At 39.8% G+C, this 16,876-nt stretch overlaps 2 annotated features.

Annotated features, from left to right (window-relative positions):
* Positions 5,428-5,567: a silencer, noted in NCBI's record as "fragment chr2:48617307-48617446 (GRCh37/hg19 assembly coordinates)". NCBI's record gives its function as "represses an EF-1alpha promoter that drives an FKBP-Casp9 reporter gene in an ReSE screen in phorbol 12-myristate 13-acetate-treated (for megakaryocytic differentiation) K562 erythroleukemia cells {active_cell/tissue: K562(+PMA)}" and the evidence as "EXISTENCE:reporter gene assay evidence [ECO:0000049][PMID:32094911]".
* Positions 16,529-16,675: a silencer, noted in NCBI's record as "fragment chr2:48628408-48628554 (GRCh37/hg19 assembly coordinates)". NCBI's record gives its function as "represses an EF-1alpha promoter that drives an FKBP-Casp9 reporter gene in an ReSE screen in HepG2 liver carcinoma cells {active_cell/tissue: HepG2}" and the evidence as "EXISTENCE:reporter gene assay evidence [ECO:0000049][PMID:32094911]".

A 16,876-nucleotide genomic window follows, 5' to 3' on the forward strand; every position in this document is an offset into this window, starting at 1 on the left:
GGACATGTTCCTGCTGCAGATAACTAGCCAGACCCATCCCTTTGTTTTGGCCCATCCCTTTATTTCCCCTAAGAAATGCTTTTAGTTAATCTATAGAAACAATGCTTATCACTGGCTTGCTGTCAATAAATATGTGGGCAAATCTTTGTTTGGGGCTCTCAGCTCTGAAGGCTGTGAGACCCCTGATTTCCCACTCCACATGCTATATTTCTGTGTGTGTGTCTTTAATTCCTCTAGTGCTGCTGGGTTAGGGTCTCCCTGACTGAGCTGGTCTCGGCAAGTGGCGCCCATACGTAGGGCTCGAACCCAGGTTGAAGGGTCGCCAGAGCGACAGTTGGAGAACGTGAAACTAAGCTGGAGGACACTCGAGTACTCTTAAAGCAATTCCTGTGGTGAGTAAGAAGGGGAGCTCGGAAGCATCAAGGGGAGCTCGGAAGCATCAGGGTAACAATGGGACAAGTGTGGGCTCTGGTTCGTTCCACCTTGGAACCTTTTCACACTGATGATGAGGAGGAAGGAGAGTATAACGAAGTAACAGAGCAGGTTTGTTTGCCAGCTAAAGCTAAAGTGGCAAAGGAGGGAGAGGTTCATCCCTACCCTTCTGCACCCCCTCCTTATTTTGAAGAAAAAGAGTGGCCTGACCCTCCAGATCTTTCTTTTCCAGAGGACACTGGGCGAAAAGTAGTTGCCCCAGTGACTGTTCGAGCAGCACCTTGAGCGACCACTCTCAGTTCTACTCAGGCAGGAATCCAGCAAGCTAGAAGAGAGGGTGATTTAGAGGTTTGGCAGTTCCCTGTTAGAATACACCCCCCAGATCAACAGGGAAATATTAAAGCTACATTTGAGCCTTTTCCTTTTAAATTAGCTCGGTTACAGGAGTCTCTTAAAAAGGTGATTGCAGGCAGCATGGGGGCTCAGTGGCTCACGCCCCTAATCCCAGCACTTTGGGAGGCCGAGATGGGCGGATCACGAGGTCAGGAGATCAAGACCATCCTGGCTAACATGGTGAAAGCCCATCTCTACTAAAAATCCAAAAAAATTAGCCGGATGTGGTGGCAGGCGCCTGTAGTCCCAGCTACTGGGGAGGCTGAGACAGGAGAATGGTGTGAAACCAGGAGCTTGCAGTGAGCTGGGATCATGCCACTGCACTCCAGCCTGGGGAACAGAGTGAGACTCCGTCTCAAAAAAATAAAATAAAAAAAAGGTGATTGTAGATTTGGCTGCTCAGGATATAGTGTTGCGGTTATTAGCTTTCGACAATGCTAATCCTGATTGCCAGGCTGCTGTGTGACCTATTAGACGGAAAGCACATTTAGTTGATTATATCAAGGCCTGTGACGGTAGCGGAGGTAATCTGCATAAGGCCACTCTGCTAGCCCAGGCAATGGCAGGACTGAGAGTGGACAAAGGAAATACTCCATTTCCTGGAGCTTGTTTTAACTGTGGGAAGCATGGTCATGCTAAAAAAGAATGTAGAAAAAATCAGCAAGTCAGGCCACCAGATAGGGGAAAAAAGAAAACTGCTGAGCCTGAAATATGTCCAAAATGTAAAAAAGGAAAACATTGGGCTAGTCAGTGTCATTCTAAGTTTGATAAAGAAGGGAACCTGATTTTGGGAAATGCCATGAGGGGCCCGTCCCATGCCCTGTTCCAAACCGGGGCATTTCCGGCTCAGGCCATTTCCTCACCCCTGTACAATGTCTGTCCCCTGACACAGCCGGTAGTGCTGCAGTAGATTTATGCTACACAAAAGCAGTGAGCCTTCTGCCTGGGGAACCCCCACAAAAGGTCCCACCAGGAGTCTGTGGACCCTTGCCAGTGGGGACGATAGGATTACTTCTAGGAAGGTCTAGTTTGAATTTAAAAGGAGTACAAATACATACAGGAGTCATTTATTCAGATTACAATGGGGAAATTCAAATTGTGATATCTACTTCTGTTCCCTGGAAAGCAGAGCCAGGAGAGCGCATAGCACAGCTCCTGATTGTGCCATATGTGGGAATGGGGAAAAGTGAAATTAAATGAACAGGAGGATTTGGAAGCACAAATAAACAAGGCAAAGCAGCTTACTGGGTAAATCAAATTACTGATAAACGTCCTACCTGTGAAATAACTATTTATGGAAAGAAATTTAAAGGTTTGGTAGATACAGGAGCAGACATTTCAATCATTTCTCTACAGCACTGGCTGTCCACGTGGCCAATTCAATCCACTCAATGTAATATGGTTGGAGTTGGTAAAGCCCCTGAAGTATATCAAAGTAGTTATATTTTGTGTTGTGAAAGTCCCGATGGACAATCTGGGACTATTCAACCAATTATAACTTCTGTACCTATAAATTTATGGGGGAGAGATTTATTACAACAATGGGGAGCACAAGGTCTAATTCCTGAACAATTATACAGCCCTCAAAGTCAACATATGACATGAAATGGGGTATGTCCCTGGTATGGGACTAGGAAAAAATTTGCAAGGTTTGAAGGAACTGCTTCAGGCAGAAAGACAAAGTTCCCACTAAGGTTTATGTTATCATTTTTGATGGTGGCCATTGTTAAGCCTCCAGAACCTATACCTTTAAAATGGTTAACAGATAAGCCAATTTGGATAGAACAATGGCCACTAAGCAAAGAGAAACTGGAGGCTTTAGAAGACTTAATTACTGAACAGTTAGAAAAAGGACACATAGCTACAACATTTTCCTCTTGGAATTCTCCAGTTTTCGTAATTAAGAAAAAATCAGGTAAATGGAGAATGTTGACAGATCTTAGAGCCATTAACTCGGTTATACAACCTATGGGGACATTACAGCCAGGATTGCCTTCCCCTGCTATGATTCCAAAAAATTGGCCTTTAATCATCATAGATTTAAAACACTGTTTCTTTACTATCCCCTTAGCTGAGCAAGACTGTCAATGGTTTGCATTTACAATTCCTGCAGTAAACGACCTGCAGCCTGCTAAGTGTTTTCATTGGAAAGTGTCCCACAAGGCATGTTAAACAGTCCAACAATTTGCCAGACTTATGTAGGACAAGCAATTGAACCTACTTGTAAAAAATTTTCACAGTGTTACATTATTCATTATGTGGACAATATACTTTGTGCTGCCCCCACTCTAGAAATATTACTCCAATGTTATGATCACTTGCAAAATTCGATTTCTTGCACTGATTTAATTATAGCTCCTGACAAAATTCGGACTACTACTCCTTACTCCTACTTGGGGACCTTAGTAAATGACACTACCATTGTGCCACAGAAAGTAACCGTACATAGGGATCAATTGAAAACATTAAATGACTTTCAAAAATTACTAGGGGACATTAATTGGATACAACCTGCTGTAGGCATTCCTACCTATGCCATGAGTAATCTATTTTCTATTCTTAGAGGAGATACTAGTCTCACTAGCCCTCGGCAATTAACAAAAGAAGCTAAGGCAGAGTTACAGCTGATTTAAAAGCAAGTCCATAAGGCTCAAATAAATAGAATAGATCCAGAGAAGACTCTAGATTTGCTAATTTTTCCAACTCACCATTCACCTACTGGTGTTATTGTCCAAGAGCAGGACTTAGTAGAATGGCTTTTTCTTCCACATACTAATTCATGGACTCTAACTCCTTATTTGGATCAAATTGCTACTATGATAGGTAATGGGAGAACTAGGATTGTTAAATGACATGGATATGATCCTGGAAAAATTAATGTCCCTCTCACAAGGGCACAAATACAGTAAGCTTTTATAAACAGTCTTACTTGGCAAACCCATTTAGCTGACTTTGTGGATATTCTTGATAATCATTTTCCTAAAATGAAACCGTTTCAATTTTTGAAATTAACTGATTGGATCCTCCCTAGAATAACTAAATTTAAACCAATTGAAGGTGCTGAGAATGTTTTTACAGATGGGTCTAGTAATGGTAAAGAATAGTAAACACATTACTGGCATCCCATATAATTCTCAAGGACAAGCCACTGTAGAACAAATGAATCTCTCCCTGAAACAGCAGTTGCAAAAACAGAAAGGGGGAAACAGGGATTACGGGACAGCCCATATACAATTGAATCTAGCATTATTAACTTTAAAGTTTTTGAGCCTGCCTAAAGCCCAGATGTTGTCAGCAGCTGAACAACATCTACAGAAACCAGCTGCAAAGACAGAAGCAGAACAACTTGTTTGGTGGAGAGATCCAATAACAAAAAGTTGGGAAATAGGTAAAATAATAACTTGGGATAGAGGTTATGCTTGTGTTTCTCCAGGACCGAATCAACAGCTGATTTGGATACCATCAAGATGCCTGAAACCTTATCATGAACTAGATGCTGAAGAAGAGATTCCAGGAGGATCCTGAGGTCCCCCCGGTTGGTTGCAGCCATGTTGAGACTGATGCTGAGGAGGACCCCAACTGTCACGAGCAACACCCATTGAACACAGCCACCTACTTGGGGACAGATCAAGAAGCTGTCACAGATGGTGGAAGAAAACCTGAGGAAAGCGGGACAACCAGTCACAATGAGTAATTTAATGATAGCTATGATAGCGATGATCACCATTGCTGAGAGTATTCCTCAGCTGACACAGAGAACAATTATACTTATTGGGCATATTTATCAATCTTGGCTGGCAATAATGCCTGGATATAATCACTCTATGACACATTTACACATGCTTTCTGATCTCAGCATTTATCATAATAAATCTGCTCCTATAATTGAGGCATACTGCCCTCAAAAACCTATTTGTAAACAGAATTGGACCTGGCCAGAAAAAATGAACATACTTGTTTAGGAAGATTGCATTGCAGAACAGGCAGAGGTTCTGCTCAACGATTCCTATGGTATCATTTTTGATTGGTCCCCTAAGGGGATATTTAGCTTAAATTGCACCATTCAGTCTGCATGCCATGGCCACACTATGTTCAGCGGGTCTGAACAAAACGGTCAGATGGTAGAAATGGTAAGAAGTATGGCAAGAGTTCCTATTTTGTGGAAACATGGCAGTATAGTGGCACCTCAACCTCAAATAATACGGCCTGCTGTAGGAGCTAAACATAAGGATTTGTGGAAACTCTTAATGGCTCTTAATAAGATCAAAATTTGGGAAAGAATAAAAAAGCATCTAGAAGGACACTCTACAGACTTGTCTTTGGATATTGCAAAATTTAAAAAAACTAATATTTAAAGCATCCCAGGCACACCTGACCTTAATGCCAGGAACTGGAGTGCTTAAAGGAAATGGATAAAAACACTTGGAAGGTCTGTGATTTCAATGATGACTGTGCTTTTAATCTGTGTTGTTTGTCTTTGTATAGTCTGCAGATGCAGATCCTGACTCCTGTGAGAAGCAGCTCACCTTGACAAAGCTGCCTTTGCTTTTATCGCTTTGCAAAACAAAAAAGGGAGACATGTTGGGAACAGGCCCCCAAATCTGGCCATAAACTGGCCCCAAAACTGGCCATAAACAAAATCTCTGCAGCACTGTGACATGTTTGTGATGGCCATGACGCCCACACTGAAGGTTGTGGGTTTACCAGAATGAGGGCAAGGAAAACCTGGGCCACCCAGGGCAGAAAACCACTTAAAGGCATTCCTGAACCACAAAGAATAGAATGAGTGATCTGTGCCTTAAGGATACGTTCCTGCTGCAGATGGGTCTAGCCAGACCCATCCCTTTGTTTCGGCCCATCCCTTTATTTCCCCTAAGAAATGCTTTTAGTTAATCTGTAATCTATAGAAACAATGCTTATCACTGGCTTGCTGTCAATAAATATGTGGGCAAATCTCTGTTTGGGGCTGTCAGTTCTGAAGGCTGTGAGACCCCTGATTTCCCACCCCACATGCTGGATTTCTGTGTGTGTGTCTTTAATTCCTCTAGCGCCTCTGGTTTAGGGTCTCCACAACTGAGCTGGTGTCGGCAGAAGAAAAAATACGACCATTTCAATAGATAGAAAAGCTTTTAACAAAATTCAGTATCATTCATAATAAAAATTCTAACCAAACCAGAAATTAAAGGAGGTGCTTTTATTGGAAGACAATTTTCTACGGATGTATTTTTTTTGCAATTTTTTAATTCTAGCAAAATACGTAACATAAAATTTTAATCGTCTTGAAGTGTACACTTCAGTAACATTAAGTACATTCATGATGTAATGCAACCATCACAAATACCCATTTCCAGAACATTTTCATCATCCCAAACAGAAACTGTATTCATTAAACAATAACTCTCCATTCCCTGCCCCACTCCTGTAACCTCTTTTTATTGTTTGTCTCCATGAGTTTGCCTATTCTAGGTACCTCATTATACATGCAATCAATCATACAATAACTTCCCTTTTGTGTCTGGCTTATTTTCACTTGGCATAAAGTTTTCAGGTTTCATCCATGTGGTAGCATGTGTCAAAATTTTATTTCTTTTTAGGCTAAATAAAACACCATTGTTTGTGTACAATATATTTTGTTCATCCATTCTTCTGTTGATGAACATTTGGGTTGTTTTCACCTTTTGTCTCTAATGCTGCTATTAACATTGATGTATAAGTGACTGCTGGAGTCCCTGCTTTCAATTTGTTAGGATACCTAGAAGTAGAATTGCTGAATCATATGGGAATTCTGTGTCCAACTTTCCGAGGACCCACCAAACTGCTTTCCACAGCAGTTAGACGCTTTATATTCCCACCAGCAATGCACAAGTGTTCTACTTTCTCCGTATCCTCTCTAACACTTAATTTCTGTTTTTATGTGTTTTATTTTCATAATAATCATCCTAATGAGTGCAAAGGAGAGTGTCATTCATTTTTGCATGTCTTGCAAACAGAGGCACTGACAGTGTTTTTTTCCAGACTATCTTTTCAAGAATGTTTGTATAGTGAGCAGCCATGAAAAGTAGATATAGTATCTCTCTTCAGAGAAGAGGACAAGTTTGTTTGCTGTCCAGTATCATAAAGATAATGGCTTACTCTGGGGCAAAGGTTGGACAAGTTTGCTTGTACCCTTTATAAAATATTTAGATTTCCTAAGCAGCATCCCCCTGGGCTACTCAGCATAACCCCAAAGGAGTGATGAGAGCCAATGTGATCATAAAGCTGATGTTGCTTGCTGAGCTATAATAAATTCTTTGGTCTTTGACCCAGAAGTCTGATGTCTCTTTCCAGCATCCATGAAACTATTGCAGGCTAGCCTGTTAGCTTGAAAGTAATATAAAAGCTCACACTCTTCACAGTTCTGGACATTCTTCTGCCTGATAAAGGCCATCTATTGAAAATCTACAGCAAACATTATACTGAATGGTGAGAGACTGACTTCTCCTTCTCCCAATAATGAACAAGCCAAGTATGTCCACACTCACCCCTTCTATTCAATATTGTACTGAGGGTCTTTGTCACTGCAATAAGGTCACAAACTAAAAAAAGAAGGAGGAAGAGGAGGAAAAAGAGGAGCAAGAGAGAAAATAAAAGGCATACAGCATGGAAAGGAAGAGATAGAACCATCTTTATTTACAGACACCATGATTATGTATGTAAAAATTCCTAAGGAATCTATAAAAGGCTATTAGAACTAATAAGTACATTTAGCAACGCCACAAGATACTAGGTCAGTATTTTAAAAATCAATTGTATTTATATTAGCAACAAACTGTTGGAAAATTAAATTTTAAAAAGCAATACCATTAACAGTAGCATACAAAAAATGAAATACAAAGGGGTAAATTTAACAAAATATGCACAACACATGTACAATAAATGAAAACCAGAAAACATTGCTGACAAAACTTTAAAAGATCTAAATAAATGGACAGATAAACACTGTGTCCATGGATTCAAAGACTTAAATATTGTCAAGATGTCAATTCTTTCCAAATTGATCTATGCATTTATTTCAATCTCAATCAAAATCCTAGCTGGCTTTTTTTTTTTAAAGAAATTGGCAAGCTGATTTTAAAATTTGTACAGAAAAGCAAATGACTTAGAATAGCCAAAAGATTTTTGAAAAAAAGAAAAACAAAATTGGATGACTTATACTACCTGACTTTAAAATTTGCTATAAGGCTACAATAACTAAACAGTATGGTATTGGCATAAATCTATATATATAGATCAATGGAACAGAATAGTTCAGAAAATAAAAACTCACATATATATAAGCAACTGTTTTTTGACAAGTACCAAGTTAACTCAAAGGATTAAAGATAATTTTTTTCAACAAATGGTGCTAGAACAATTAGATATATATCAACAATGAGCCTTGACCCCTACCTCTCATCACACATAAGTGTTTTTTTGAAATCAATCACAGACGTAAATGTAAAAAAAAGCTAACAGTGTAACACTTTTAGAAGAAAACATAAGAGAAAATCCTTCTGATTTTGAGGCAGGCAAAGATTTATTAGATAGCACACACAAAAAAATTTAAAAATTAAAAATTAGCCAGATATGGTGGTTGTGTACCTGTAGTCCCAGCTACTCAGGAGGCAAAGGATGTAGTGAGCCGTGATCACACCACTGCACTGCAGCCTGGGCAACAGACTGAGACCCTATCTCAAAACAAAACAAAATTAAAATTAAAAAATAAAAACAGGTGAATAAACACATTATGCTGAATTCCTACAATGGGGCAAAAAACTTTTAATTTTTTTCAGAAATAAAAAGAAACAAACTGCTGATACAATGTGTATGAAACCAATCTCAAAAGAATACACATATGTGATTCCGTTAACATGAAATTTTTAAAAAGACAAATCTAATCCTCTCTATAGTGACAGAAACCAGATCAGTGATTGCCTAGGACACGGGCTTGGGTGGGGAGCATTAAGAATCATGCATATACAGCAGAAGGGAGAAGAGCTTCTTGGTATTCTAAGTCAGTGTTTGCAAAACAAAAATAATTTGTCCTGCTTGACCTGCAGAGTAAGAGAAATAATACAAATTTGTTATTAACATGAAAAACTGAAATAAATTGGACAATTTCTATTACTTCCAGAGCTGATGGCTGAATAAAAAAACCTTCAACTCATACTAATGACTCCCATGTAGAATATGAGATGGATTAGAGAGAAGTATTAAAAGGCGGCTGGGTGCGGTGGCTCATACCTGTAATCCCGGCACTTTGGGAGGCCAAGGCAGGTGGATCTCCTGAGGTCAGGAGTCGAAGACCAGCCTGGCCAACATGGTGATACTCCGTCTCTACGAAAAATACAAAAATTAGCTGGGCGTGGTGGTGTGCACCTGTAATCCCAGCTACTTGGGAGGCTGAGGCAGGAGCATTGCTTGAACCTGGGAAGCAGAGGTTGTGGTGAGCCAAGATCGCGCCACTGCACTCCAGCCTGGGTGACAGAGTGAGACTCCGTCTCAATAAATAAATAAATAAATAAATAAATAAATAAGAAAAAGAAAGAAATATTAAAAGGTTTCTGAGGAGGGTTGGGTGGATGTGGGGAATCAGTCACTAGAAGTTCAATGGCCTTTTTGAAAAAAAACTTCATTAAGAATATTAATGGAATGTAGGCCGGGTGCAGCGGCTCACGCTTGTAATTCCAGCACTTTGAAAGGTCGAGGCAGAAGGATCACCTGAAATCAGGAGTTCGAAACCAGCCCTGCCAGCATGGTAAAACCCCATCTCTACCAAAAATACAAAAATTAGCCAGGCATGGTGGTGGGCACCTGTACTCCCAGCTACTCAGGAGGCTGTTACAGGAGAATCGCTTGAACCTGAGAGATGGAGGTTGCAGTGAGCCAAGATCACGCCACAGCACTCCAACCTGGGTGATAGAGACTCCATCTCCAAAAAAAAAAAAGAAAGAGAATACATGGAATGGAATGGAATAACTACTACCTATTGAGTATTTACTATTTGCCAAGCATGGCAATCACCAAGCCAAGCATTTATATATTGTTTGTTATTTCATTTAATCCTCACATCAACACTATGAAGTTAATGAGGTAAATGTTACCATTTATAGATGAAGAAACACAGACTTGAGGAGTTTAAATTGCCCATGGTTGCACTAGTTAGTAAATGATTAAAAAAACCAAGTCTGATTCCAGAATTTGTGCCTTAATTACCAGGATTTACTGCCTCTAGATTATAGGAATATGCAAGCACAAGAACATGTTTGGCCACTGATTCATTTGCTAAACAAATCAGCATGAAGCACTTTTTTTTTTTTTGAGATGGGATTTCCAGGCTGGAGTGCAGTGGTACAATGTTGGCTCACTGCAACCTCCACCTCCCACATTCACGCAATTCTCATGCCTCAGCCTCCCAAGTAGCTGAGACTACAGTCACATACCACCTTGCCCGGCTATTTTTTTTTTTTTTTTGTATTTTTAGTATAGACAGGGTTTCTCCATATTGGCCAGGCTGGTCTCGAACTCCTGGCCTCAAGTGATCCAGCTGCCTCGGCCTCCCAAAGCACTGGGATTATAGGCATGAGCTACCACACCGGGCCAGAACACGAAGCACTTTTTTTTTTTTAGATGGAGTTTCACTCTTGTTGCCCAGGTTGGAGTGTGATGGCGCAGTCTCGGCTCACAACAACCTCCTGCCTCCCAGGTTCAAGCAATTCTCCAGCCTCTGCCTCCCGAGTAGCTGGAATTACAGACATGCACCACCACGCCCGGCTAGTTTTCTTGTATTTTTAGTAGAGATGGGGTTTCTCCATGTTGGTCAGACTGGTCTCGAATTCCTGACCTCATGTGATCCGCCTGCCTCGGCTCCCAAAGTGCTGGGATTACAGGTGTGAGCCACCGCGCCCAGTACATGAAGCACTTATCAAAGCCCCACCACTGTATTGGGCCTTGTTGGTAGTGAACAAAACGACAAGCCTCTGCCCTCATGGAGCTTATCTTCTAGTGGGAGGAGAATAGATAAAATAAGAAATTGCAATAAAATATCAGAAGTCATAAATGCTATGAAGAAAAATAAGGTGAGGAAGAGGAAGTAGAATCAGGTTGACGGTTGCTATTTTAGACAAGTTGGGCATCTGAGCAGAGCAGGGCATGGAATGATGTGCAGGAGACTGCAAGTATCTGCAGGAGGAGCCTCTAGGCAGGAACCAGGGAAGATAAAGGAAGTGCAGCCCTTTGATGTGTTTACAGGAACTGCAAGAGTAAGAGTTACTGTACCCGGAGGAAACTGCGATGGTAAGACTGGTAGGAGATGACAACTGAGAAACATTCAGGTTCCAGGACCATGTCATGTGTGGAGCTCTGCTGGTGCTGTGGTAAGAACTTAGAACCTAAGATCAGGGGAGCAGGGAACCAAATGTACATTTTAAAAAGTCACCATTGTGTCATGAGATTTGAAGACTGCTCATAGCAAATCTTAAATACAAATTCTTAGTCAAATACCTTCTGACAAAACAGTATATCCTATGTACTATAATCTGTTATAGTTACCCTTCAAGCCAAAATAACTCCTAAATCATGAAACGTACAATCAGGAAGTTAAGAAAGAAGGAGTTGTTTCTCTAAACTGATATCCATATTACTGCACCTTATTTAATGATTTACTTATTTTTTTTTAGAGACAGAGTCTTGCCCTGTCACCCAGGTTGGATTTCAGGGGCACGATCATAGCTCACTGTAACCTCACACTGCTGAGCTCATGCAATCTTCCCACCTCAGTCTCCTGAGTAGTTAGGCCTACAGGCATGCATCGCCATGCCCTGCTAATTTCTTTTTATTTTATTTTTTATTTTGTAGCGATGGGATCTCACTGTGTTGTGCAGGCTGGTCTTGAACTCCTAGCCTCAAGCGATCCTCCTGCCCTGTCCTCCCAAAGATTACTTTACTTTATTAACAAATGGTTTTATATGGTAAAATCTTACCTATTCTCATTTGTTTAAAGGTCAGCCTACATTATTGAAAAGTATATTAAAATATATACTTACTGCTTTTAAATGTAATTGGAACTAAACCATCCAAGTTTTTTAGGACATTAAGGGAATAGAGAAGAGTAACTTTACAATTAGCCTACCTGATAGATTTCATTAAGTAATTCAAGCATTCTCAAGTAAGCCCTTAAGAGAATGCTTACAGTATTGCATCTCTTAATAAGCAGAGTAAAAGTAAGTAAGAAGCTGAATCTTGATCAAATTATAGTCCTATCAATTCTACAACAACATAATTTGGCTGAAACACTTACTAATCTTTCAAGTAACTGCCAGCCAGCACACACTTTAAGAACTCAGATGTTTTGGTATCTTTCTAGTCAAATGAACAAGAAGCATGTCAGTAGGAAAACTTCACCTGACATCATATTGATTTAATTTAAAGGACTGCCACCCACTTTCTGCCTTCACTTGCACACCAATCTGAATTTTTAAAGGAAATTATATATAAATTGTTTTTTCTTGAATGAAAGCATATGATGATAATTCTGTGTTTCCTTGTAATTTGATTCTGTGTAAATACTATCTTTCCCTTCTTTTAAATGAATTTTCCCCAGGAAATGTATAGTCAGCTTTAATTCATTTTAAGAACAATCGTTGATTATTCAAATGAGAAATTACAATGTTTAAATACTTTCAGCCAGCTGTTGGAAGAGGCAATGGTGTACTGATACATTTCAGCTGACATACTACAGTCTCTTTATCAGTGGAGGTAAAAGCATGGCCATATATAATTCATTAGTATTCTCTCTCTCTCTCTCTAATTGCTTTCTAGTAGAATTGCAGAAAGGAATTCTCACTCTCTTCTGTTTCCCTTGGGGGTTTGCCTTTGTTACGACTCAACTATAAGCTCTATATGGAGTTGCAGCTTTTGAAATAGAGCATTAATTGGAAGCAATTATTCAATTATAGCAGCTGTGGCTATGCTGTATCCTGAATATTTACCAAGAAAAGAAAGCAGTTAACAGATGATTTAATATAGCAGCTTGGCAATAATGAACCTGCAACCAACACTGCAGTTGCATAACTAATATCTTCAATGGCTGAAATATTCAAGAGTACATGGTATAAATCTAAAAATAAAATAAGAGACTATCAGGCTTGATTTTTGAAGCACTGCAAAATGTGTGAAGTCAATTCAAAAGTAATCAAAGAACTTATGTTTGTTTATTATCTAAACATGTGTGAGATTTCGCCAACTGCTTGATATTAAAAGTAGATAATGTTTTCAACTTTAATCGATTCTTTTTCTTTTACTCTTTCGATGCCTCATGTAGGTACTCTGAAGTCTTATTATAAGGCTGTCCTTGAAATTGATGCTTTGGAACCACTTTAGGTACTTCTCAGATAAGCACCAAGCAGAACCTCCCCTGTGTGAAATTCCACTCTGTAACCAATGGTGTGATAATGAGCTGCCTGCTAGTCATTTTCTGCCTGTAATCTATTCAGCTTCTCGAGTGCTGACCAAGTGCTTGGCAGAGAATGGCTTTGGCTGCGCTAGGATTGATTAAATTGATGAGAAGACAATCCATATGCTGTCAAAAAATATTTTTATGGGCAAAAATTCACTACTAATACCTGCAATATTGGTTCCGAAAGAAATGGAGAAAATGTTTCATCAAATTTATTAGCTCTATGTTAAAGAAACGAAACAAAGGAACCGAAACACTTTGCTACCAACTCTTGAGTCATCTTATTGGTGCTGTCTTGACAAAGAGATGCCATTCTTTTATTTGCTATGATGTCACCTTTGTCCAATCATAACCTTCCGTATGGGAGTAGGATAACTCCGGAGACAAGGTGAGTGACAGCAGCAAGCAACGCAGCAGTCACTAGGCAACAAGATCCAGCCTTCAGTGGAAGAGAATCTTAAAACATTTAACCCCCACACTGTCTGGGTGTCTCATTGCTGAAATGGCAGTAATCTCTGGACAAAAGCCTAATGTGAATAGGCAGCTTGTTTCTGAAGCCATGTTTTTTCAGGCACTGTGAGGAAACTTCCTTCTTAGACTAAGAACATTACTCAATTTGAAAAGATTGGTAGAGTTAGAAATCTTTAAAACTGCTTTTTCACAGGGTCACAGTTTAAGCCACATGAGGATCCCCCCAGTGTGTTTAGAACTGTTATTCAATTGCTCCCCATAAGCCAGGCTGCTGCACAGGTCTTGTAGTCTGTGCTCTGCACAAAGCCACACTACAGAAGGGGGTGAGTGGGACTGAAATCAGCCTGTGCGCTCTTGCCAAGATATACCCTTGTTAGGGCAGTCTGGAGAAGGGTATCTTTATCTAATTGGTTGCCCTGATGGGGCGCCATTTTGTAATTTGTCTGCCTGGAGGAGGCGCTTTTTCCTAACTTGCACAGAATTGCTCTGTGAGCTCTTAGGTGGGGGGCACTGCAAGTACATCTTGTGGCCCCCACTAGTCAAAAGCTCTGCAAGACTGTCTCTTCTCTTTCACTTGACTCTTGCTGTAGAATTTAGCACAGGCTGGACAGACCCAGGTGTGAACTGGTGGTGTTGCTTTCAAACTGGATTTCCAGAATCGCCTCATTCAGACTGTTTTGGTTTGTTTCCAGAAAAAATGTCCTCTAAAATTTTTCTCATGAAGCAAATATTTTGTCAGTTTGTGAGAGCTAATTGTTTAATATTATTTTCCACCCCCAAACAGTTACACAATATAATGATTTTCTTAAGATAAACCCTACTGTTTCTTAGTCAGATCAAAAAGTGATTGACGGGCATTTATTAAGTGGGCTCTTTGAGAACAGTGGGTACCATGTTTCTCTAACAGTGTCTGGCACAGAGTAAGTGCACATATCTCTTTGCATGAGTGCATTAATCAATTGATTAATTAATTAACAGTATTTACTTAGGGGAATCCAACAGGAGAGTTATATAATACATTGGAATTGTCAGAAAACCTACAGGGATTTTTGTTTTTTGGTTTTGAGAAAGGATCTCATTCTGTTACCTAGGCTGGAGTTCAGCGGCATGATCAGAGCCCACTGCAGCCTTAAACTCCTGGGCTCGAGCAATCCTTGCCTTTAGCCTCCAAAGCATCTAGGACTACAGGCATGTGCCACCATGCCCAGCTAATTTTTGTAGAGATGCGGTCATACTATATTGTCCAGGCTAGTCTCAAACTCTTCACCTCAAGCCTTCCTCTTGCCTCAACCTCCCAAAATGTTGGGATTACAGACATGAGCCACTGTACCTGGCCAAGAAACCTCACAAGTTATCCAGTACAACAGTTTTTATGCAGTTGAGGAAACTGAGACCCAAATAACTAACCAATTCGTACATCTAGTTAAAAGCATAGCCAAGTGTCCCTATAATTAGCACAATATGGAGACTAATTTAGATTGTAATCATGTAGAGAGCAAAGATCATTTCCATTGACGTTGCTATATGCCTTACCTATAGTATCATTAAACCTCTATTCAATGTTGGTGCCAGTACAGTTGATGACTATAATGAGTTTGCAAAAATAAAAATTGGATCCTGTTCAGAAATAACCAGGCTGTGGTTGGCTCATTGTGACCACTTTTCTTCTGGAATATAAACATCTCATATTATAGTGATTATTGCTTTGCAACCTGTATTTTGTTCTGTCATTGAAAGTTTTTACAATCTAATTAAGGAGACAGGACTAACATAAGATAAATTAGAGAAAATACAGCCAAAGATTTACTAAGCCAGGCATTTCACGTCTTATCTAATCCTCACAAAGGGCAGACCCAGGATATCAAACCAGTTTTCTTATTCTGAAAACGTTTTTATCCTGAAACCAATATTTCCCAAACTTGTCCTTCATATTTTTCATACTGTCACCTGTGCTATTTCTTTAATATTTTTCTTTAGACTGACCCACTTTTATCTTAGTGTTATTCTAAGTCATAATACTCCTTAATGTGTATAACAAATACATATTTGTCCTAACGTACAGGAATATATCTAAAAATGTTTATTTGTGCCTTCAGCAGTACAGGGTCACTCCTTGAGAAACAGCAGACTACACTGTGCTTTTAAATGTGCAATGACATTAAACATTATTGAGTGCCAAACAATGCCATAAATTTTCCAAAAAGGGCGAAAGCCAGTACTGACTTATAACTGATTTAATTTCACCCTAACAAGATCTTCATGAAATTATGTTAGATATCACAGTCTTATGTTCAAATTTAGCTGCTAGTTCAAGCTTTGCCATTAAATGGCATGATCTGGTATCCTTCTGTTTCCTCATAAGTCAAAGAGAAGATTGGATTAGACAAATTCTGAAGGCCAACATTCTAGGAGCTCAAATCATCTGCATTACTTCTTTGTCTCTCCAGTTAGACAAAGGATCCTTGCATGCTGGGAGATCCCCACGCAGGAATTTAAAATGTGATGGAAACACAGTGGCCATAGTAAATGTGAATATGCTAAAGTTCCTGCTAACTCCTTTCAAATGATTTCTTTAAAGAACAAAATTAGCTGTCGTTAACAAGACGTATTTAAACAAAACTAAAAACACTAAAAATAAAAATAAAGGACTAGACAAACACAGCAAACAAGCCTCCCCCTGCAAAAAATAAAGGTGGTAAAATTAATATCAGACAAGACAGCATCTAAGGCAAAAAGTTAGAATAAGAAGGGGTATTTCTTTTTTTTTTTTTTTTTGAGACTGTGTCTCACTCTGTCTCCAAGGCTGGATCTCAGCACACTGCAACCTCTGCCTCCCAGGTTCAAGCGATTCTGGTGCCTTAGCCTCCCGAGTAGCTGGGACTACAGGTGCACACCCACCACGCCAGCTAATTTTTTGCATTTTTAGTAGAGACAGGGTTTCACCATGTTGGCCAGGCTGGTCTTGAACTCCTGACCTCAGGTGGTCCGCCCACCTAGGCCTCACAAAGTGCTTGGATTACAGGCATGAGCCACCGCACCTGGCCAGGAAGGATATTTCATTTTGACAAAAGTATAGTCCATGAAGAAGATGTTATAATAGTTGTG

This window comes from Homo sapiens, chromosome 2 (genome assembly GCF_000001405.40).
Source record: "Homo sapiens chromosome 2, GRCh38.p14 Primary Assembly".
In the NCBI taxonomy this organism is placed as follows: Eukaryota; Metazoa; Chordata; class Mammalia; order Primates; family Hominidae; genus Homo; species Homo sapiens.